This window comes from Homo sapiens, chromosome 21 (assembly GCF_000001405.40).
Source record: "Homo sapiens chromosome 21, GRCh38.p14 Primary Assembly".
NCBI classification, from domain to species: domain Eukaryota; kingdom Metazoa; phylum Chordata; class Mammalia; order Primates; family Hominidae; genus Homo; species Homo sapiens.
The window spans coordinates 44,190,844-44,211,356 of NC_000021.9; the positions used below are offsets into that span (position 1 = coordinate 44,190,844).

A 20,513-nucleotide genomic window follows, 5' to 3' on the forward strand; every position below is an offset into this window, starting at 1 on the left:
CTATGAACAACACAAATTCCACACACAGATGGAAATTTGACCCTTGGAAACTTACCTTATGTGCTGCCTTATCCTCAGCTCCTAGCAGGCTCAATACTAACTTGGAAAATGGAAGGATTGTGGGAATCCTGCATCGTTGCTGCTCATGGACTCTACCCATTCCTAGCGGTTTAGAGGCTACCCAGCCGGCTCCTTCTGCCTGGCCTCCCTCTGCCTGTCTGTCCGTCCAGCCGGCAACACCGTCCTCGCTCCTGTCCTCTGGCCACGGTGGCCCTATCCCATGGCGTCACATGGGCACACATCTCTGTGTTCGTCATCCAGGCCAGGAGCCTCTTGTCTACTGGCCTTGGGACCTGGCTTGCTGTGTGCTCTGGGCCTGGGAGCCTCCCTCCATCCATAGACTCAGGCCGTGCTTATGCCCTGTGCTCACATGTGTGAGGGGGTCTGCAGTGCACGTGTGATGGGGTGTGTGTGGCACTCTCAGCTGCCCTTCCTGTCTTCTCTCCCCCGAGCCTAGGTAGTCCTCCACCATGTTGGGACGCAGGGCCCCAATAAGAGGGATCTTATTTCTCCTTTGCTTGTGAAGCTCAATTTGGCTGGATATGAAATTCTGGGTTGGAAATTATTTTCTTTAAGAATGTTGAATATTGGCCCCCAATCTCTTCTGGCTTGTAAAGTTTCTGCTGAGAGGACCACTGTTAGTCTGATTCCACTGCTGTCCCATCAGTGGCACAGGGCCCTCCATGTCCTTGGTGCACATTGGCCCCAAGGGACCCAGACAAGGTGGGGCTGGGTGGGGGCTGGCGTGGGCTGTGTACACCCAGGTCGAGCTGAGCCTGGCCCACATTGGGCACCTACAAGTCAGGAGGACCCCCACCCACCTGGTACTTACACATCAGGGGTTCCCAACCCCCGGGCCTCAAACCACTACTGGTCTGTGGCCTGTTAAGAACGGAGCCGCACAGCAGGAGGTGAGGATGGGGAGCAGTGAGCATTCCAGCCTGAGCACCACCTCCTGTCAGATCAGCGGCCACATTAGAGTCTCATAGGGGCGCAGGGGAGGGATCTCAATTGTGTGCTCCTTATGAGAATCTAATGCCTGATGATCTGAGATAGAACAGTTTCATCCCAAAACCATCCCCCTACCTGCATCCATGGAAAAATTGTTCTCCATGGAACTGTCCTGGTGCCCAAAAGGCTGGGGAGTGCCATTGTAGAGCACACAAGAAGCTCTGTGATTTGAGGCATCAGGATGGAGATGAGGGACAATGGTGTTATTTCAAAAGGCTGCATGCTGTTTGTCCTTCTTCCCTCAGGACGAGGTGTGATGAGCCAGAAAGTCTGATGGGGCTTCCCAGCACTATCCTAAGTCCTCCTCTGTAGGGCCTTGGGCTGCCTCTGGGCCAGGAGGCCACCACTCGGCCAGTCCCCCAGACCCCAGGGGCTGGGGCTGCTCCCTGCTGGGCTGTCTGGCTGGCTTTCCCTGCCTGCTCTGATGGTGAGTCATTCTGGGTCTCACTTGTGACTGAGTGGCTTCAGGACACAGGACACAGTTCACATCTCAGGGCTTTAGGCTCTGGGCTCTCTCTGGACATCTAGGGGCCAGGGAGGGACCTCAGGCCTTTGTAATGGGAGGCGACCCTTCTTCCCTGGACACACAGCTGAAAATAGACACCCCCCCGCCACCGTGCATGAGCACACGGGGGTCCCCACCCAAGGGTGTCATGTGATAGGATGAGGGCAGGGATACACAGCTCGGGCTGGTGGAGCGGGGTGGGTCTGGGCAGAGGTCCCTGGTGCTGGCCTCTGTGTTTGGCAGAGATGCAAAGGCAGGCAGGGAGGGGAAGCTTCGGAGTGGGAGAGCGGAGGCACAGGTGTGCCCTGGGAAGGCAGGCGGCCAGGCGTGGGGGTGGATCACCAGACAGCAGGGTTCCTATGGGATTGGTGAGGGCTGCACAGTGGCTTTCTCTGGTTGGTCCTAAGTTTAAAGCGAAGCCGGGTGCGGTGGTTCACGCCTGTAATCCTAACACTTTGGGAGGCCAAGGCCGGTGGATTACTTGAGGTCAGGAGTTTGAAAACAGGCTGGCCAACACGGTGAAACCCCATCTCTAATAAAAATACACAAAAAATAGCCATGCGTGGTGCCAGGCACCTGTAATCCCTGCTACTCGGGAGGCTGAGGCTAGAGAATTGCTTGAACCTGTGAGGCAGAGGTTGCAGTGAGCCGAGATCACGCCACTGCACCCCAGCCTGGGCAACAGAGCAAGATTCTGTCTCAAAAAAAAAAAAAAAAAAAAGTGGGAGCAAAAATTAGGGAAGCTAATTAATGAGTGAATTACATTTGTCATTTGATGTATTAATCCAGTCCCAGCTGTTTGGAGCTGATGGTAACAGGAGCTGTTGTTTAGCTTCCTGGATGCTCTCTGGAGATGACAGTCTCCCTTCCTATGACTCAACACAGCAGGCGGCCTCTGGGCTGCTTACCAGGGATGAGGGCGACCTCCCGGGCTGGTTATGGGGGCAGGGGGGAGGCCTCCTGGGCTGGGTGCTGCAGATGTGGGGTGGAGTTCCATTTTTATAGCTGGGCTGGCCGCTGTCCATGTGCACATTCAGTCTCTAACAACTAAAATTTCTCATCGTAAGTTTAAGTAGTTGCAAAGGATATAACTTCTGATATATTATAAAACCAATATGTAAGAAATAACCATGAAGTCACTCTTTTAAATGTATTCAAAACCCCAGTGATTTGATAGCCACCATTATCTGTTTTAAAAATACAGGCAAGCTGGGCGTGCTGGCTCATGCCTGTAATCCCAGCACTTTGGGAGGCCAAGGCCAGAGGATGACTTGAGCCCAGGAGTTCCAGACCAGCCTGGGCAACATAGCAAGACCCCATCTCTATAGAAGTAAAAATAAAAAATTAGCCATGGTGTGATGGCACGGGGCTGTGGTCTCAACTACCCGGGAGGCTGAGATGGGAAGATCACTTGAGCCCAGCAGGTCGAGTCTGCAGGAAGCCGTGATCACATCACCGCACTCCAGCTGGGATGACAGAGCAAGATCTTGTCTCAATTCATCCGTCCATCCATACATCCATGTGTCACTCAGTTTAAAAGAACAAAAACCAAAGAAATCTGAAAAGCTTACAACGAAAAGACGCTCAGTATTCTCTTCTCCTCCCTGGATTAGCTGGGTGGGCGCCAGGTCATCACAGGGTCCTTGTAAGAGGAAGGCAAGGGGTCAGAGTCGGGCAGAGGAAGCCAAGGTCAGAGGGGAGGAGAGGCTGCTGACTTTGAAGATGGAAGAGAGGCCTGAGCCAAGGGGTGCAGCGGATCCTAGAAATGGTAAGAGGGACACAGATCCTCCCCTAGCGCCTCCAGGAGGAGTGGAACCCAGCCAACACCTGGATCGGAGCTTCTGACCTCCAGGGCTATAGGAGAATAAATGTGTGTTGCTGAAGCCACTGACTAGTCAGCTACTGCAACCGTTGGAAACTACAGCTATTATCACAATGCCCATAAAACACGCTCCAGCAGCGTGAGAACAAAGACAGTTGTGTGGTGGTTATGAAACCTCACCTAACAAGACCATGTTTAAGAAAAGCCAAATAAAAACAAGAAGTAATTATTTAAGCGGTATCCTAATAAACGGCTTGCAAAAATATGTGAGCAAATGAAGTGGTCTCCATCCAGAACCTTGATGCTGGTATTTATTTTGCTACTTAAGAGAGTAAGAGGGCCATTTGGATCGTGTCATGGAGGGTGTTTCGACATCATGTTCCTGCTAGCAGTTGCAGAGGCAACACACTGGTCCAGGCTGTGCATCTGGGCTCCAGGCCGCTTCCCGTGGGGCAGGGCAGCTGCTCCAGGAAGAGGCTGAGAGCTGGGGTCTGGGTGACTGGGCTGGGATCTGCGCCGGGTGGGGAGGAGAAGCCCACCGCACTGGGGTTCAGGGGTTCCCAGAAGAGGAGACCAAAGCCATGCATGGTGCTTTGCAGCCTGAGTCTGAGCTGAGCTGGTGGGGGGACCCCAACACAAGGAGGACGCACCGGGTCACAAGGACTGTGCTCGCTGAACGTCAGGGACAGGGTGGGCCCTCCTTCCCAAAGCCATCAGTGCTCCCCACTGGGCCAGTGTCTGGCTCACAGCTGGGAGAGCTGGGAAGGGCTTCATGGGTCATGGGCACCCACCAAGGGCAGTGTTGCTGACCATATGGAGCCAGGAAAACCAAAGTTGCACATTTTTTTTTTTTTTTCCAGAACACAAGATTCCCTTAGAGTGTTGTTCTTCACGGTTCGTGATTTGGTTCAATTGTTACCATTCCTGATGCTTCCTCCTAGGAAACAAGAGTAAACCACAATGGCCTGTAAAACAAATATTAAAATCTCGCATGTACTCTTGGGACAGACGTCGTCTTGAGTGATGGCCTTCCCGGCCCTGACCAATGCCTGTGCACATCCTGAGTTTGTCTGAGAGCCAGAGACCCCCTCTGAGAAATGGGATGGCTCCAGCTGGGAAGCCCCCGCCCTGCCAAGGAATGTCACGAGCCTCAAGCAGATTTGCTCTTAGATATTTCTTTTTAATCGAGTCTAACAGTGATTGTTGAGCCGTCCTTCATTTTTTTTTTTTTTTGTAAGATGCCTCTGTCAAGAAGGAGCCACGAGTTGGCTTTCATGGAATGGGTGCTCTTGGTGGCCAAATAGAAATAAAACCTGGCTGTCTGGTCCTGATCCACTCACAGAAGTGGCGTAAACACCTTATTTATGATCTGGGACATTCAACACCATCTTATAAAAGATTCATAGAATACACATTCACACACCCACAAAAATCAAGAGAGCAGATTTTCCAAAAATAGGTGCAAGAAAGATCCAACTTCCAGGATAAAATTTTAGAACCAACATTTCCATTAGCAAAAGCGGTCTTGTCTAAAACTCTACCGACCGCGCTAAAATCCCATTCAAAACAGAGCTCTGGTTACGTAGATCGTGATCAATAATGAGAAACTGTGAGGCGTCCCCGTGGGATCTGACACTTCCTAGGGGAGCTTCTCTCCACTGGTAATAAAGATATAATTAGGAATTTCAACTACCTGTGATTTTGCCAACTTACGGCATTTGTTGAGAATTTCGGTCCCTGTGTTTATGCACACACCTTTCAACCTTAGATTTGACGGTGATGGGTTAGTAAATGTCAATTCTAAAGTGGTCGTTTTCAACCAGGGGCAATTTTACCCCTCAGGGGACACTGGCAGTGTCTGGAGACATGTTTGGTTGTCATGACTTGGGGCAGAGGTGCCACGGGCACCTGGAGGGTGGAGGCCGGGGTGCGGCTCAATACCCTAACCACACAGGATGGCCCCAGGACAAAGATGCCCCTGGTGCTGAGAGCAGGGCCCTGTTCTAAGAGATGGGTGGCTGGAGCCTGGCTGGAGGGCACTAGTGGCACTCTGGGCTGGTCTCCCAGGGCCCCATCTGCCAGGTCGGGGGCCCACGTGGGCCTGCAGGATGTGCGTGCTTCTCTGCTGTTGAGATTGCATCAGCACAACAGCCACAGCCGTGACACGGGGGCAGGCACCTCAGTGACGCCAGAGTCGGGGCGGGAGGTGTGGAGATCTGGGCTTGCTTCCTCTTTTCAGTCCCAGGACAGCTCCTCTTTGGCTGTGGGAGGCCCAGCTTCAGCCTTGTCTGTGGCTTCCTGGTGGGAGGACACAGGCCTTGAGGGACGTTTGTCCGAGACGGTCCTCATCCTACTGGTAGGGACACAGAGCACCTGTTCCTCTGGCCCCTCCAGGAGCAAGACACATGCACTGCTGAGGCCTTGGAAGCCTACACAGGTTTATCACCCACGGCCAGACCTGTCTGTCAGGGAGCAGGTGGGGTCATCCTGCCCTGAAGCACCGATGAGCTGATCCCGGTCATGCAGAGTGGGTGGGGACCTCTTGGCTGGGCCTGTTCATGTAGCACACACGGCTTTGCTGCCCATAGAATCCAGGGCCCCCAGTGTGAGCACCACTCTCCATCCCTGAGGCCGAGCCTTACCCTGGAGGCAGCCTCAGGTGAGATGCCCCTAATGGAGCCACCTGGCAATGGACCGCTCTCAGGTCCTTCAGCTCGGTGCACTCACCCGGGAGCCCTGCGTTCTGTCCTGGGGTAGAGGCTCAGGGTTGGTTTGAAGCCATATAGTCAGCTCCCAGAGTCACAGAAACGTCCAAGGAAGAAAACTGTCCGATTACAGACTTTTAAAATTCATTCATAGTTTAATCAAGAGAACTTGCTGTTCCTTCCTCAAATTTCCTAGAATTGGTCTTCTCATAATCACCACCTAGGGCACAGCTGTGGCCGAGGCTCCCATGATGAAGCGTCTGTGTCAGCGCTGACGAGGTCTGCCGAGGACGCGTTTCTCTCTGCAGCCCGGCACCAGTCTCAAGGCCATCGGCTCCGACAGCGTCACCTCCTGGGACCTTCCCTTCATGTATGGTCCCAGCGGCATGCGGGCCTGGTGGAGGAGGTCCTGGCCTGCCGCCCAGGGATGGCCGGTCCAGGCGCAGGGCCGATTGTCCACTTCTGGCCCCTGAGGTACCGGGAGGGCTGGTGAGCAGCATGTCTCGCTCTGAGACCGGCCAGGCTGCTGGGGCAGGCATCTGATGTACAGTAGTTCCCACACGTGGCAATGTCACCAGCAAGAGCCACGTATGATAAATTCAGGCCGTCCACCGTGGCAACACTGGGAAGGCTGATTCTGTAGGAAAGGATTGGCCTTGGGCCATCACTGTTCAAAGAAGAAGAAATCCCTGGATCACTGTCTGATCCAACTCCAGACAGACACTCCACACAGGATTCCTCCTGGGGATCACGGCTCTTCTCTTGGCGGAGAAGAAGGAGGGAGAATGAGCCCATGTCGGGGGCCTCTAGGCAGCCCGCCACAGCCCTACAACTCAAAGAAAACTCACCAGTCCCTGGTCACTCGGATGTCCTTGGAGGCGCTTGGATTTACTGCAGGGACCCCAAGAGTCGGCCACGGCAGAGCCCCGTCTGCCAGCCCACCGAGGACTCGGGGAGGGGAGGGAGCACTGCAGCAGAACGGAAAATGGGTCCACGCTCAGCTTCTTGGTTTATCATTTTAGACTTTATGCGTTGGCTTCCTGCGACAAATGGTTACATTTTAACCCTTTTACAACCACATTTCCTCCCCCAATCCTCTCAATGTCATGATTTTTCTTTTTTCTTTTTTCTTTTTTTTTTTTTTTTGAGACGGAGTCTCGCTCTGTCGCCCAGGCTGGAGTGCAGTGGCACAACCTCGGCTCACTGCAAGCTCCGCCTCCCGGGTTCACACCATTCTCCCGCCTCAGCCTCCCGAGTAGCTGGGACTACAGGCGCCCGCCACCATGCCCGGCTAATTTTTTCATATTTTTAGTAGAGATGGGGTTTCACCCTGTTAGCCAGGATAGTCTCGATCTCCTGACCTCGTGATCCGCCTGCCTCAGCCTCCCAAAGTGCTGGGATTACAGGTGTGAGCCACCATGCCCGGCCATGATTTTTCTTTTGGAAATGGAGTCTCACTCTGTCGCCCATGCTGGAGTGCAATGGCACAGTCTCAGCCTCGCCGCGCCCTCTGCTTCCTGGCTTCAAGCAATTCCCTTGCCTCAGCCTCCTATGTAGCTGGGATTACAGATGCGCGCCACCATGCCCAGCTAATTTTTGTATTTTTGGTAGAGACGGGGTTTCACCATGTTGGCCAGGCTGGTCTCGAACTCCTGTCCTCAAGTGATCCACCCACCTTGGCCTCCCAAAGTGCTGCGATTACAGGCATGAGCCCCACGCCCTGCCTCCTTGTCATGGCTTTTACTCCACAGTGTGTATGCCGTTGAAATTGAATAAATATGGATTACAACAGAGACCACTGTTGTGCTATGATTACATTTGTCAACTTAGATAACAGAGAGGCTCTGTGAAAGAAAACGACATTTATTCAAAAATAGGGCGTTGCAGTCGGAACACACGTGCGGTGGTAGACTGTGTGTGTTCAGGGAGGTAAAGGGAGAAAAAGGCTTTTAAAGGGAAAACGAGGATCACACCGTTGTTTTGAGGCGATTCCCCTTGTCTACAAGCATCAGCGGCGGGGGGTGCCAGTCCAGGGTTGGACCGCAGTTGCTGGGCAGATGTCCTCACAGTATTTTCTGTCCATGGTTGCAGTGGACTTCATACAGCGTTGTGGTTTCTCAGTATTTTGTGATAGTAATACAAGAGTTATTAAGAAATAATTTTTATGCCGGGTGCGGTGGCGCACGCCTGTAATCCCAGCACTTTGGGAGGCCAAGGCAGGCAGATCACCTGAGATCAGGAGTTCGAGACCAGCCTGGCCAACATGGTGAAACCCCATCTCTACTAAAAATACAAAAATTAGCCGGGCGTGGTGGCGGGTGCCTGTAATCCCAGCTACTCCGGAAGCTGAGGCAGGAGAATCGCTTGAACCCGGGAGGCGGAGGTTGCAGTGAGTCAAGATCACGCCATTGCACTCCAGCCTGGGGGACAAGAGTGAGACTGTGTCTTTAAAAAAAAGAAAAAAAAGAAATAATTTTTAGGCAGCTGGATAGGGTAAAGGTTCTAGGTGGAAACTAACAGAAAGGCGGCTTAAAGAGCCAGACCAGCAAGCTTTGATATGCAAACGCCGGCAAATAGACACTGGGTCTACCCAACATGGCGATTCCCACATCTTCTTGTCGACAGGTGTGCCAGGTGTCATGGCCGCCCCCACATAACACCATGTGTTCAAAACGTCATGGCAACCCACATTTGCATATTAAAGGACTAAGGTGGGAGGGCCAGGTTTCTCATGGACTACGTGAATGATACACCCGGTCAAACCAATTCCCTGCCCCCTATGCAAACCAGACACCGCCTCCTCCAGCCTCCCGCTATCGTGGAATGCCCTTCTGCGGCATGCGGGGCCTCTTTGCTCTGAGCCCCACTGCGTCTCTGTATAGGGGAGCTGTTTTATTCTTTATTCCTTCTTCCTTGCCTATTAAACTTTCTGCTCCTTAAAACCACTCCACATGTGTCCATGTCGTTTTATCTAAATCGGCGGAGGACCAAGGACCGTGATGTTCCTCCAGTCATTGGAGCCGTATCAATAGCTCTTGCTATCAGTAATTCATGCAGGAGAACCCTCCCTTTATGGCCTCCCCCAGCGCTATTTGTCAGAGTATATGTCGCCCGGGCTGGAGTGCAGTGGCATGATCTCAGCTCATTGCATCCTCTGCCTCCCAGATTCAAGGGACTCTTCTGCCCCAGCCGCCCGAGTAGCCAGGACTACAGGTGCCACCATGCCCGGCTAATTTTTGTATTTTTAGTAGATACGGTGTTTCACCATATTGGCCAGGCTGGTCTCAAACTCCTGACCTCATGATCCACCCACCTCGGCCTCCCAAAGCGCTGGTATTACAGGCGTGAGCCACTGCGCCCAGCCTATTTGTCAGAGGCTTTTTTTTTTTTTTTTAACAGAAGTGACTCCATTTTAATTCTGATAACTTTCTCATTGTCCCCTTTTTACCAAGGTCTTTCTTTGAAAGAATCACTGATCAATTATTCTATTGTTAGGTTTTGATTGTCCCTTGTTGGTGCTGGGATGTGGTGTCCTGCGGTTGCTGGTCTTGTCCCACAGTGGAGGGAAGTGATTAGCAGCTAGAAGTCAGTGGCAAAACCTTTAGCCACATTTGAACAAGAGAGATTTGAAAGGAATGTCTCTCAGGCTGAGTCTACCTGGAGTCCATTATTAATTTCAGTTTTATTTGTTTCATAGTCTTTGCTATCATCTCAAAGAGCCGGTCCAGCATTGTTCAGTTAGGAGGTGTACATCTGCAGAAATTTAACAAGTAACAGGCACAAAGTTTAAAAAGGGAAAATACAAAGTAAAATTAATAGTAATATGAAAATCCCAGTTTGCATAACAGTTTTGAGCTACAAACCTAGGCTTAAGATCACCAGTTGAATGAACTAAATGACCATGATCCTGTGGCACGAGCAGGTAGACGGTAAGAGGGAGGGCGTCTCTGATACAGAATCTCGTCCCGATGAACTGGAAGCCCTGGCTACAGTGTGAAAACGCCAGCTTCTCTGCCTGGTTTGCAGGTGAAATGTCTGTGGTTATGGCATTGGATGGTTTGGTGAACTCCTGTGGGGCCCATATGTCAGATATGAGACTTGTTCCTTAAAATTCATCTAGTTTCAGTTTATAGGGATTTAGGAACAGAGCAGTTTTTATTTTTAGTAATTCCATGGAAGAAATTTTGACTGAAGGAATCTAGAAGAATTTAGGATCTAGTCTAGTCTGTAGGTAGATATAAGAGCTCAAATACAATGCCCAGAGCTACAATCTCCTAACAGATGTATTATAGCTTTTCTTTTCCTTTTTCAAAAAGTATAGAGATAAGGGTCTCTCTATTTTGCCCAGGCTGGTCTCGAACTCCTGGGCTCAAGTGATCCTCCTACCTCAGCCTCCCAAAGTGTTGGGATTACAGGCGTGAGGCACTGCACCCAGGCCTACAGCTTTTCTTTAGAAACATAAGCTTTTCTCCCTATGTTGATCAGATGGGAATCTCAGATTTAATGGCCTCTTGAGGCTAAGAAGCCAAACCAAGGCAGGCTTTAGATTTGACCGATAGCCCTGAGGTTCCTGGGCCTGCCAGATGGTGACAGTTTTTATTTACTCTCGCTGTAAGGCTGGGAACTTTCTTTTTATTTGGAGGGGGGATGGAGTTTTGATCTTGTTGCCCAGGCTGGAGCGCAATGGCGCGATGTTGGCTCACTTCAACCTCTGCCTCCCGGGTTCAAGCGGTTCTCCTGTCTCAGCCTCCCAGGTAGCTGGGATTACAGGCGGCTGTCACCACGCCCAGCTAATTTTAGTATTTTTAGTAGAGATGGGGTTTCACCATGTTGGCCAGGCTGGTCTCAAACTCCTGACACCAGGTGATCTTCCCACCTCAGCCTCCCAAAGTGCTGGGATGATAGGCGTGAGCCAGCGCGGCCGGCCAGGCTTGGAACGCTTGAGGCACATTCTCAGAGACACGATTTCGGTCACAGCCTTGGTAATATGACTGGTGTTTTCAGTTGTAGCCTGTCATGAAAAGAGATTGACACATTACATTTTTGATACTACCTTACGTTTTTCCTGGCCTTTTGTTTATTTTTTATTTATTTATTTTTTAGAGACAGTGTCTCACTGTGGACGTCCAGCCTCTGGAACTGTGAGAGGTACATGTCTGTTATGTAGGCTGCCCAGGCTGTGGAACTGTGTCATAGTGGCCTGAGTGACTTAAGCACCTGCCTGTAGGCCAGGACTGTGGCTCCACAGCCCAGCTTCAAGCCTGGCCGACCAGGGGTTTGGCATGAAGACCCCGGCAGGGCTGGGGCTGTGCTGGAATCCACCCGGAAGTTTCCTGCCCCTTGGGCTGCCCACCAGGTCCCCTTTCTGCTCTGATCAAGCTGGACAAAACGTCGTGGGGCCACAGCACAGGGGGCCAACGCAAGCTGGGATCGTCAGACGTTAGGAAATCCCAAGGAAGAAGAGAAAGGGGACACATTCGGGAGACGTCGGCACACGCTCGAAGCAGCGGACAGGCACCTCTCTGTGGACAAGGCAGACTGGGCGGCCGAGATTCCGCATAGATGCCTGCTTCCTCCACGACCTCCACGTGTGGCTGGCCCAGTCCGGGTCCCCCTCACCTCCTCTGTCTGTCTTGGTGGCCTCACGCCGTGGGCTGTGATGCCGGCTACGCTGCTTGGGTGGCCAAGGGTCTGAGCTGCAAGACGCCCAGCCTGGGTCTCTCCCGAGCTCTCCCACGTCCTGTCTGCTCCTCCTCCGAGCTCCCGGTTGACTCTCACGACTGCACCAGCCTCTCCCCCAGGAAGGCGTGGAAACAACCTCCTTCTCCCAGGCCCGCTCTGCCTCCTGCGTTTCAAGGCAAATCCGTTCCTCCAGGAGATGATGCAACCACATCCTGTTGGAGCCCAGAGAAGTGCGGATGCAGCCCGGGGCTCTTTCTTTCCTAGAACCCTGCCTGGGAGTGGCTTCCCTGAACTAAGGACAGAGACTTTGTCTTCGTTGCCTCTCGGCCTGTGGGCACTGAGCATACAGTAGGTGCTCAGTAAATGCTTGCAGGCCGATGCCCAGAGCCATTAGCCCTCATCATGGTGAGCTCGGCAGCCGGTGTTGGGGCTGGGCTGGGCCTAGGTGTGCGTGGGGGCGGTGCTGGTCTGCTTTGCTGGGAGCCATGGACACCGGAGGAACAGGGCCCCATCAGTGCGGTCAGAGTGCAAACTCGGAGCGTCCTTCTCTGGAAAACGAATCGCAGTGGCCCCGATCTTTGGGGCTTTCTGTGTCCCCTGTGCATGGTTAGAGAAGAGAAAACATGCACTGGTTTCCTGAAAATCCCTAGGATTTCTTCAGAGGTCTCAGCTTCTGCCCACAGCCTCTGGGGAGCAGACCAGGAGCCCCGCAGCACGGGAGTCCCCAGACCCACCCTGACCACAGCCCAGGAATCCCGAAGCAGAGGCTCTGGGTCAGCTTCTGCAGACGCTGGAGAAGGCGGGAGGCTCAGGGCTGGGCCTCCAGGTGTAACCGCCTGATGGGCTCTTCCTGCCCCTGCACAGACAAAACCTCTTCACTGGGCCCAAGGCATTGCTATAAAGAGTTTAATAGACACCAGGCTGGCCATGCCACGTGGGAGATGGAGTTATTACTCAAATCAATCTCCCCCAAGAGACGGAGTTATTACTCAAATCAATCATCTCCCCCAAAATTCTCAGGCTCGGGTTTTTCAAGGATAGTTTGGCAGGCCAGGGAGTCTGCTTCTGGGTGGGGCCACAGGACCCGTTTGTGGCGGGCAGGGGGGTTGGTGTGTCCAAATCCAGGTGGAGCCATCATTGTCAGAAATGCAAAAACCTGAAAAGACACCTCAAAAGGCCGATCTTAGCGTCTACAATAGTGATTCATCCTCAGGAGTAATTGGGGAAGTTGCAAATTGTGTGACCTCCGGAATAATGGCTGTTACAATTTTTGCAAAGGCAGTTTCACAGGGATGAGGCCAGGACAGAGGGCACAGCCCGCTGGGACTCCAGGGCTGCCCCTGCACCCCCCATATCAGCTCAGAGAGGCCTGGTGTCCCCGCTGCCAGGGGTTGACACCCACTGGTACCCCCTGTGGAGCAGCTGTGGGCGGGGGCTCTGCAGGGAGGGTGTCGGGGGGGCCAGGTGAGCCAGCCCAGAGCCATGCCCGCACCTGCTGTGGGCCCTGGCCAGGGCAACCGCTGCCTCTTCCTTTGATGTCCCTACCCTATGCCCCTCTCTTCAGGCCTGTTCTGCCTGACCCCGCTACCTCCATCCGGCTGCCTTCCATGAGCAGCAGCTGCCTCCCCCCCACACCCTTCCTTGGTGGCCCCGCCCCTCTGATCTCCGTGAGCCAGGATCTCCCCCAGGATCCCTATTTCCCACGGGCTTTTGGCAATGGGCTGCTCACCCCCTCCTTCCCCTCCTCCTCATTCATCTGCCATCTGTGAAATGTGGAGGAGGGGCCTGCCCTGTGCCAGGATCTGTGCCCTAGACACTTCCCCAGCCAGGCCCAAGGGCTGAGCGTGAGGCTGGCAGGTCTGCACTTGAGGTGGATGGTGAGGGTGCCCTCGCCCACCTGCAGCCATTGTCTGCTGAGTACCTGTGGTGCAGATGGGGATGGCTGCAGGGGGGTCTCAGCTCACGCAGTATTGCGGCCATGGGTGCTGGACATTGGTAGGTCTCTCTGAGCAGAGCCCGATGGAAGTGAGAAGGGCGTGCGTTAGGGGAGCATTTGGAGAGGGAGCCACGGGTACAGCTGCCCTGCAAGCTCCAGCGCCCATGGGAAAAAGGGACCGAGGGGGAGAGGGGAGGGGATAGGGGGAGGGGAAGGGGATGGGGCGTCGGTGGTTGCTTGGGCTCTTAGGGTGGGGGTGATGCCTGCAGTCTTGGTGTTGAAGGGAAGACCAGGGAAGAGGGAAGGCAGGAGGCCTGGGAGAGAAAGGGAAGAGCTGTTGGGTGCTGGCGGAGTGGAGCGGGCTCTTGCATCACTCCATCCCAGGCTCCACCCTGCCTGCACCTGGAGGCCTCCCTCACCTGGCTCCTCTGTGCTCCAGACCCCTCCCCTTTCCAGGTCCAGGATTCCCCCTGCCCAAACAGCACTGACCAGGCCCCCAGGGCCTGTGCCTGCAGCCCCCAGGGACGGGTGGGCGTAAAAAGATACAGCGGGCCAGGCGGCTCACGCCTGTAATCCCAGCACTTTGGGAGGCCAAGGTGGGTGGATCATGAGGTCAGGAGTTCAAGACCAGCCTGGCCAAGATGGTGAAACCCTGTCTCTACTAAAAATACAAAAAAATTAGCCGGCGTGGTGGCCTGTGCCTGTAATCCCAGCTACTCCGGAGGCTGAGGCAGAGAATTGCTTAAACCTGCAGGGGTGGAGGTTGCAGGGAGCCGAGACCGCACCACTGCACTCCAGCCTGGGCGACAGACCAAGACTCCGTCTCAAAAAAAAAAAAAACAAAAAAACACAGCGGCCATTCTGGGAGCCTTGGAATGACCCTGAGAAGTGAGTGTGAGCATGTCTGGAACACGCAGCCGAGCCTGAAGGAGGACTGGGTGCCTGCAGTGGGAGCCATCTCCCTTCTGGGTTTTCTGATTTTAGCCTCGCGCTGCCTTTGAGCGATTTTCCAATCTGTACATTACAGATAACAGAGAGCAATGCAGATAACTCTTGCTTATAGCCACGTGTAGTGGGTTGACAGTGGCCCCCAAAAGCTATGTGTAAGTCCCGACCCTCATGCCTATGGGGTTGAGCTTATTTGGAAATAGGGTGTTTGTAGATGCGTCATTAGATTAAGGCTTTTTTTTTGTTTTTTTGTTTTGTTTTTTGTTTTATTTTTTTTTTTTTAGGCGGAGTCTCACTCTTGTTGCCCAGGCTGGAGTGCAGTGGCACGATCTCGGCTCACTGCAACCTCTGCCTCCTGGGTTCAAGCAATTCTCCTGCCTCAGCCTCCCAAGTAGCTGGGATTACAGGCACCCACCACCACACCCAGCTAATTTTTGTATTTTTAGTAGAGATGGGGTTTCACTATGCTGGCCAGGCTGGTCTTAAACTCCTGACCTCAGGCAACCTGCCTGCCTTGGCCTCCCAAAGTGCTGGGATTGCAGGCGTGAGTCACCGTGCCCAGACAAATTAAGGCTCTTGAGACGAGGTCATCCTGGGTTATGCAGATGGACCCTGAATCCGACACTAGCACCCGTGTGGAAGGAACGAGAGGGAGATTTGGGGTCCGCAGAGGCAAACCACAGGAGGACGGAGTCGGAGACTGGAGCACCGCGGCCTTGATCGGGGGACACCAGGGCTGCCGGCTGTGCCAGAAGGGGCTGAGGCTGGACCGGATTCTCTCCGAGTTCCCAGAAGGAGCCAGTCCTGCCGACGCCTTGATGCTGGACTCTGGCCTCCAGAAATGTGCGAGGACAAACATCTGCGGTTTCTAGGCCCCGCCTGTGGTCCTCTGTTGCAGCAGCCTGGACAGTCTGGACTGCCTGGACAGCATGCAGATGGGCTCTGCCCGCGGCTGCCCACGAGTTCCCACCGCCCGCCCGTCCGTGGGAGAGCCAGTCCTCGTATGTGAAGCGTACCTGTATCCCTTTACTCCGCGTACACAGGTGCCTTTGTCACTTCTCCTTTGACCTGGCTGGCACATCTTACCGGTTTCTGCGCTAACAATGAGTTGAAGGAAATCTTGAACGCGCGTTCATTTTATATCGGTATCAGAGTCTGTTTATTTCTTGTTGACACTAATCTTTGAGCATGAGTAGTTTAGTGATTGTGAAACAGAAACTTCTGGATACAAAATCAGTCTCCTGGCTGTGACCCAATCATCTTCGCAGTTCTGATTACCTGTGATTAAGAAAATAAATAAGAACACCCATTGGGGGAAGGCTTCCCTCCCCCGGGCACAGCAGCTTTAAAACCGAAAGGGAAGTGGGTGCTGTGAGCAGCTCTGTTCAGGCCTAAGGCCACGCATGTGTGCCCCGTGGGGGAGACATGCACCAGCGAATCAGGAAACAGTGGTGACAGCCGTTCCGGGAGGCTGACTGGGGGTGCAGGGGTCACTTTTCTAATGTGGGTGGGTCTGTGTCCCCTGCAGGAACGTGGCTGCAGCAAAGCCGGTCAGCCAGCGGTCAGCTCCAGCCCCTGTCCAGGCCCTGTGGGTCCTGCTGACCAGGCTGCGGTTGTTCCCAAACCAGTTCCCAGCCCCCGCTTGCCCTACTTCCTCTCACACCAGCTCCTTCCACCCCCTCACACCCACCTGCAGGCTCCCAGCCCAGGCTACTGACATCAATCATGGCAATCGCTATTCCAGAGGTATACGCGGTGGGTGGGGTCCGGTATCGCCTGCCATGCCTCACTCACCGGGCACCCAGATAACCTGAGGCCAGGGAGCAGCCACTCGCCCTGACCCATGCTCCCCGGGCCCCTGAGGCACCCAGGAGGACCACCCGGCCGCTTCTGCTCAGAGCCCAGCACCCCCGAGTCTGTGAAGAGGTCACATCTGACCACGTTTCCAGGTGGCTGCCCAGGCGTGGGTTCATGGCCGCTTCCGGTTTCCTCCTCGAGCTGAACCACACACCTGCTCTGTCCCGGGCTTTCTGGAGGGGTTTTCCGAAGTGAGACTGTGGGCTCCCTCCAGGGCTGGGGGCAGGAGGACACACGGGGAAGGTGGGCAAGCAGCCCCAGGCTGAGGGAGGCCTCCCCTCTGCAGCGTTTGTTCATTCATTTGTTCATCGCTAACACTGTCTTGGGCATCAGGGAAAACAGGTGTCTCTGGTCCACATGCAGAAGAGCCACCACCGTGGCACGACTGGATGACTCAGACCCCGGGCGGGGGGTATGATTTGGACACAGTCATTGTCCAGGGACACAACTTTGCCTGGACCAGAGCTTCTCACCCCCAGGCCATTTGAAACCCCAGGGGATACTCGACAAAGTCCAGAGACATTTTGGGTTGTTCCTTTCCAGCCCCGGCGATGGTGGGGACGTGTCCATGTCTGTGTCCCTCCGGTCACTCTCTCTGGCCCTCTCCCTCCCTGGGGGCAGCTGCTCTCAGCCCTCCCTGCCCCCACATCGCCATCCTGCCTGTCCTTCTGGGCCTGCACGTTTGTTGTGTTTGGAAGGAGCCACCAAGGAGGAGGATGTCAATGTGCAAGTTCTCAGGGAAGCAGGCCCCGCAGCCTCCGTCAGTGTCTTCCGTCCGCAGGAAGAACCCAGGCCTGGGTGATTCATCGGGGCCTCAGGGCCGGGAGGCACTAAATCTTCTGCAGATGTGGTAAGATCCTATCACAGCAGAAAGGGAAGGGCTAGAGTCTCAGGGAAGGTTTTGCTAGGGAGACGGGCTTGGAGGGGGCTGAGGCTCATGGGAGCTGCAAGGGTACAGGAGGGGAGGGGACCCCAGGGCAGGTGGATGGACACCTGGGTGGGTAAGAAAAGGGCCTCTCAGAGGGCAAGGGAGGGCCAGGGAGGGAGCAGTGAGCCCTGACTGACTGTACAAGCTTAACTGGCTGCCCTTGTCCTGCAGGTGGTGTGGGCTGTGTGGATTTCGGATGTGGGCCCATAACATAGCCACACTGCTGCAAAGCAAGTGAGTCTGAGGCAAGAAGAAGGCCCAACCTTGGGAGGCTGACCTGGAGGGCAGGCAGAGGCAGGTGGTAAGGACCTGCCTTACCTGTTGAGGTGACAGTGGGGGACATATTGCAAGGAAGGAGGCCCTGGATCCTCAGGATGTGGATGGTGGGTAGAAGGGTGACAGCTAATGGATGTCCACCTGCACAGATGCCCACCTGCATGAGTGCCCACCTGCATGAGTGCCCACTTGTACCAATGTCCACCTGTACAGATGTCCACATGCAAATGCCCATCTGCACTGATATCCACCTGCACAGATGCCTACCTGCATGAATACCCACTTGCCTGAAAGCCCACCTGCACCCATGTCCACTGGCACAAATGCCCACCTGCACCCGTGTCCACTGGCACAAATGCCCACCTGCACAGAAGCCCACCCACACAAATGCCCACCTGCAAAAATGTCCGCCTGCACAGATGTCCACCTGCATGAATGCCCACCTGTGTCCACATGCACGAATACCCACCTGCACAGATGCCCACCTGCACGGATGCCCACCTGTACAAAGGCCTACCTGCGTGAATGTCCACCTGCATGGATGCCCACCCGCACGGATGCCCACCTGCACAGTTATCCATCTGAACAGCCCTCTGGTGCCTCCTTTTGCTTGCACATGTTCAAATCCTCCCAGTCCTACAGTCGATTGTTCCTAGTTGGGGTCATTCTGGGCATGTTATTCTAAAACTTGTTTTTTCCCGTCTCCACATCAAAGGAGAAAGGTCTAGCTTGCTTCTTTGCTATAGAGCAGGGCCTGAGTGAGGTCAGGACCACAGAGCAGACCCTATGAGTGTTGGTCAGGACACAGAGCAGGACCCCTTCAGGGTCTGGAAGAGGGTTCCCCAAGCTCCTGTTCAACCTGAGTGAGAGGCTCAGGCTGCCCCCAACACACTGCACAGAAAAATGGGCCATTGATTCAGAGCCACCCACGCTAACAGCAGTTCAGCTGCAGCCCTCCGGCAGGCAGGTCCTGGGAACACTAGGAACCTGAGACCCTGTCCCTTCCTGATAGCGGGGTGTGGTGACATGAGGAGAGACTGGGTACCTCCATTCTGCTCATGAAAGTCACAGAGGGGACCGGGGACCCCAGGCCCCTAGCGATACCAGCACCCCACACAATGCCTTTCTGGGATACACCCCCCCAACATGGCCTGCCCAAGGCATCAGGAGCTGTGTAGAGGAGTCAGCTGGGGGTGGCAGAGCCCCAGGGAACAATCATGGGTCGCTGGCAGATAAGCCATGCGCCCACACAGCACAGGCCCTCACCCCTGCAGCTGGGGGAGCCCTCCTTGGGAGCGGGCCCAGGATCCGGGCAAAATGACACAGACCGGATCCAGGAGCAGACTGAGCAAAAGTGGCAAAAGTATTCTCCAGGTTAAGGGAATATTTTCACCAATTGAGAGACCAGCTGTCCCTCCAGACCCAAGGGTTCCACATCCCTGGAGGCAACCAAGCCAGATGCAAAATATTTGAAAAAGAAAAATGAAAAAAAGAACAATACAGCAATAAAAAAGAACACAAATAAAAAATACAGTATAGCTATTGACAGAGCATTGTGTTGTGTTAGGTCTGATAAGTGATCTAGCAATGGTTTGCAGGATGCAGGAAGATGTGCGGGAGGGTGGGCACAGGTGCTAGGCAGACACTGCGCCATTTTATTCTGGGGACTTCAGTATCTGCAGGGGTCCTGGGACTAATCCTCAAAGGATACCGAGGGACAACTTGATGTTATTATTTTATTTTATTTTAAAGACATGTCTTGCTATATTGCTCAGGCTGCTCTCAAACTCCTGGGCTCAAGTGATCCTCCTGCCTCTGCCTCCTGAGTAGCTGGGACTACAGGCATGAGCCACCATGCCTGACTTATGTTATGATTTTAAAAAGTAATCCATCAACCTGAAGAGAAGCCCACTGTCCTTCACCTTTGGAAGTTCCTACCCACCATGGGTAAGATTTCTGCATGGAGAGGCCCTGCTCCCCCAACCTCTCTCTTGAGTCCCCTGCTCAGCTGGCATTCCCCACCTACTGTGGAAGAACATTCTGGGTTTCTCCGTCAGCCCCAGGCCCACCCCTTGGGGAGATGACTGGTGACTTACATGTGTCTGTCTCTCCAGCTAGGCATGGTGCCACAGCAAGGGGTGTAAATACTGCAGGCCACACATTCCCGGCACCCAGGACAGGAGCAAACAAAAGGATAGATGGTTGGCTGGCTGGATGGATGAATGGAGGGAAGGAGGGAGGGATACAGGAATGGAGGGATGGAGGGATGGAGGGAGGGATGACGGAGGGAGGGATGGGTGGGTGGGAGGGATGGATAGATGGAAGGATGGAAGGAGGAGGGATGGATGGATGAAGGGAGGGAGGAATGGATGAATGGAGGGAGGGAGAGAGGGAGGGATGGACAAGAGGTAGGGAAGGATGGACGGGAGGGAAGAATGGAGGGAGGGATGGATGGAGGGATGGAGGAATGGATGGATGGAAGGGAAGGATGGAGGGATAGAAGGATGGAGGGAGGGAGGAATGGATGGATGGAGGGAGGGATGGATGGATGGAGGTAGGGAGGGAGGAATGGATGGATGGATGGAGGGATGGATGGATGGAGGTAGGGAGGGAGGGATGGATGGATGGAGGTAGGGAAGGAGGAATGGATGGATGGATGGAGGGATGGATGGATGGAGGTAGGGAGCTAGGGATGGATGGAGGGAGGGAGGGGGTGGATGGGAGGGAGGGATGGATGGATGGAGGGAGGGAGGGAGGGATGGACAGGAGGGAAGGATGGATGG

General features: G+C 54.2%; 2 long non-coding RNA genes across 5 annotated transcripts, besides 17 other annotated features; one reads left to right on the top strand and one right to left on the bottom strand.

Annotated features, from left to right (window-relative positions):
• Window positions 5,340-5,840: a transcriptional cis regulatory region, noted in NCBI's record as "chr21:45616066-45616566 region (GRCh37/hg19 assembly coordinates) targeted for CRISPR interference". NCBI's record gives its function as "positively regulates ICOSLG gene expression in THP-1 monocytic cells {active_cell/tissue: THP-1}" and the evidence as "EXISTENCE:mutant phenotype evidence [ECO:0000015][PMID:33828297]".
• Window positions 5,340-5,843: a biological region, named in NCBI's record as "CRISPRi-FlowFISH-validated ICOSLG regulatory elements GRCh37_chr21:45616066-45616566 to GRCh37_chr21:45616069-45616569". NCBI's record gives its function as "regulatory_interactions: ICOSLG".
• Window positions 5,341-5,841: a transcriptional cis regulatory region, noted in NCBI's record as "chr21:45616067-45616567 region (GRCh37/hg19 assembly coordinates) targeted for CRISPR interference". NCBI's record gives its function as "positively regulates ICOSLG gene expression in anti-CD40- and anti-IgM-stimulated BJAB lymphoma cells {active_cell/tissue: BJAB(+anti-IgM and anti-CD40 for 4hr)}" and the evidence as "EXISTENCE:mutant phenotype evidence [ECO:0000015][PMID:33828297]".
• Window positions 5,343-5,843: a transcriptional cis regulatory region, noted in NCBI's record as "chr21:45616069-45616569 region (GRCh37/hg19 assembly coordinates) targeted for CRISPR interference". NCBI's record gives its function as "positively regulates ICOSLG gene expression in GM12878 lymphoblastoid cells {active_cell/tissue: GM12878}" and the evidence as "EXISTENCE:mutant phenotype evidence [ECO:0000015][PMID:33828297]".
• Window positions 5,466-5,655: an enhancer, noted in NCBI's record as "active region_18563". NCBI's record gives its function as "activates an Ori minimal core promoter by ATAC-STARR-seq in GM12878 lymphoblastoid cells {active_cell/tissue: GM12878}" and the evidence as "EXISTENCE:reporter gene assay evidence [ECO:0000049][PMID:35858748]".
• Window positions 6,220-6,398: a silencer, noted in NCBI's record as "fragment chr21:45616946-45617124 (GRCh37/hg19 assembly coordinates)". NCBI's record gives its function as "represses an EF-1alpha promoter that drives an FKBP-Casp9 reporter gene in an ReSE screen in phorbol 12-myristate 13-acetate-treated (for megakaryocytic differentiation) K562 erythroleukemia cells {active_cell/tissue: K562(+PMA)}" and the evidence as "EXISTENCE:reporter gene assay evidence [ECO:0000049][PMID:32094911]".
• Window positions 9,762-16,566, bottom strand: LOC105372832 (uncharacterized). Of its 4 annotated transcripts, NR_188576.1 has the most exons (4): window positions 16,360-16,566; window positions 15,686-15,947; window positions 10,980-11,114; window positions 9,762-10,172 (listed from the first exon to the last, which is right to left on the bottom strand). It is a non-coding gene; the product is annotated as an uncharacterized LOC105372832 (long non-coding RNA). The 4 variants fall into 4 exon arrangements; NR_188575.1 differs by having other exon boundaries at window positions 9,762-11,114; NR_188574.1 differs by lacking the exons at window positions 9,762-10,172; window positions 10,980-11,114 and adding an exon at window positions 11,175-12,382.
• Window positions 11,008-11,771: an enhancer, noted in NCBI's record as "H3K27ac-H3K4me1 hESC enhancer chr21:45621734-45622497 (GRCh37/hg19 assembly coordinates)". NCBI's record gives its function as "activates a minimal SCP1, AML or CMV promoter by ChIP-STARR-seq in naive H9 embryonic stem cells {active_cell/tissue: H9 hESC(naive)}" and the evidence as "EXISTENCE:reporter gene assay evidence [ECO:0000049][PMID:30033119]".
• Window positions 11,772-12,534: an enhancer, noted in NCBI's record as "H3K27ac-H3K4me1 hESC enhancer chr21:45622498-45623260 (GRCh37/hg19 assembly coordinates)". NCBI's record gives its function as "activates a minimal SCP1, AML or CMV promoter by ChIP-STARR-seq in naive H9 embryonic stem cells {active_cell/tissue: H9 hESC(naive)}" and the evidence as "EXISTENCE:reporter gene assay evidence [ECO:0000049][PMID:30033119]".
• Window positions 12,103-19,278, top strand: LOC102725065 (uncharacterized). The gene is made up of 3 exons (XR_937789.3): window positions 12,103-12,190; window positions 15,275-17,376; window positions 17,626-19,278. It is a non-coding gene; the product is annotated as an uncharacterized LOC102725065 (long non-coding RNA).
• Window positions 15,662-16,861: an enhancer, noted in NCBI's record as "CDK7 strongly-dependent group 2 enhancer chr21:45626388-45627587 (GRCh37/hg19 assembly coordinates)". NCBI's record gives its function as "activates an origin of replication core promoter dependent on BRD2, BRD4, P300/CBP, MED14 and CDK7 cofactors, with strong dependence on CDK7, by STARR-seq in HCT116 cells {active_cell/tissue: HCT116}" and the evidence as "EXISTENCE:reporter gene assay evidence [ECO:0000049][PMID:35650434]".
• Window positions 15,662-17,034: a biological region, named in NCBI's record as "CDK7 strongly-dependent group 2 enhancer GRCh37_chr21:45626388-45627587". NCBI's record gives its function as "regulatory_interactions: ICOSLG".
• Window positions 15,835-16,900: a transcriptional cis regulatory region, noted in NCBI's record as "chr21:45626561-45627626 region (GRCh37/hg19 assembly coordinates) targeted for CRISPR interference". NCBI's record gives its function as "positively regulates ICOSLG gene expression in GM12878 lymphoblastoid cells {active_cell/tissue: GM12878}" and the evidence as "EXISTENCE:mutant phenotype evidence [ECO:0000015][PMID:33828297]".
• Window positions 15,876-16,376: a transcriptional cis regulatory region, noted in NCBI's record as "chr21:45626602-45627102 region (GRCh37/hg19 assembly coordinates) targeted for CRISPR interference". NCBI's record gives its function as "positively regulates ICOSLG gene expression in THP-1 monocytic cells {active_cell/tissue: THP-1}" and the evidence as "EXISTENCE:mutant phenotype evidence [ECO:0000015][PMID:33828297]".
• Window positions 15,985-17,034: a transcriptional cis regulatory region, noted in NCBI's record as "chr21:45626711-45627760 region (GRCh37/hg19 assembly coordinates) targeted for CRISPR interference". NCBI's record gives its function as "positively regulates ICOSLG gene expression in anti-CD40- and anti-IgM-stimulated BJAB lymphoma cells {active_cell/tissue: BJAB(+anti-IgM and anti-CD40 for 4hr)}" and the evidence as "EXISTENCE:mutant phenotype evidence [ECO:0000015][PMID:33828297]".
• Window positions 17,033-17,533: a transcriptional cis regulatory region, noted in NCBI's record as "chr21:45627759-45628259 region (GRCh37/hg19 assembly coordinates) targeted for CRISPR interference". NCBI's record gives its function as "positively regulates ICOSLG gene expression in GM12878 lymphoblastoid cells {active_cell/tissue: GM12878}" and the evidence as "EXISTENCE:mutant phenotype evidence [ECO:0000015][PMID:33828297]".
• Window positions 17,033-17,561: a biological region, named in NCBI's record as "CRISPRi-FlowFISH-validated ICOSLG regulatory elements GRCh37_chr21:45627759-45628259 and GRCh37_chr21:45627787-45628287". NCBI's record gives its function as "regulatory_interactions: ICOSLG".
• Window positions 17,061-17,561: a transcriptional cis regulatory region, noted in NCBI's record as "chr21:45627787-45628287 region (GRCh37/hg19 assembly coordinates) targeted for CRISPR interference". NCBI's record gives its function as "positively regulates ICOSLG gene expression in anti-CD40- and anti-IgM-stimulated BJAB lymphoma cells {active_cell/tissue: BJAB(+anti-IgM and anti-CD40 for 4hr)}" and the evidence as "EXISTENCE:mutant phenotype evidence [ECO:0000015][PMID:33828297]".
• Window positions 17,707-18,622: an enhancer, noted in NCBI's record as "H3K4me1 hESC enhancer chr21:45628433-45629348 (GRCh37/hg19 assembly coordinates)". NCBI's record gives its function as "activates a minimal SCP1, AML or CMV promoter by ChIP-STARR-seq in primed H9 embryonic stem cells {active_cell/tissue: H9 hESC(primed)}" and the evidence as "EXISTENCE:reporter gene assay evidence [ECO:0000049][PMID:30033119]".
• Window positions 19,279-20,513: the final 1,235 nt, after the last annotated feature.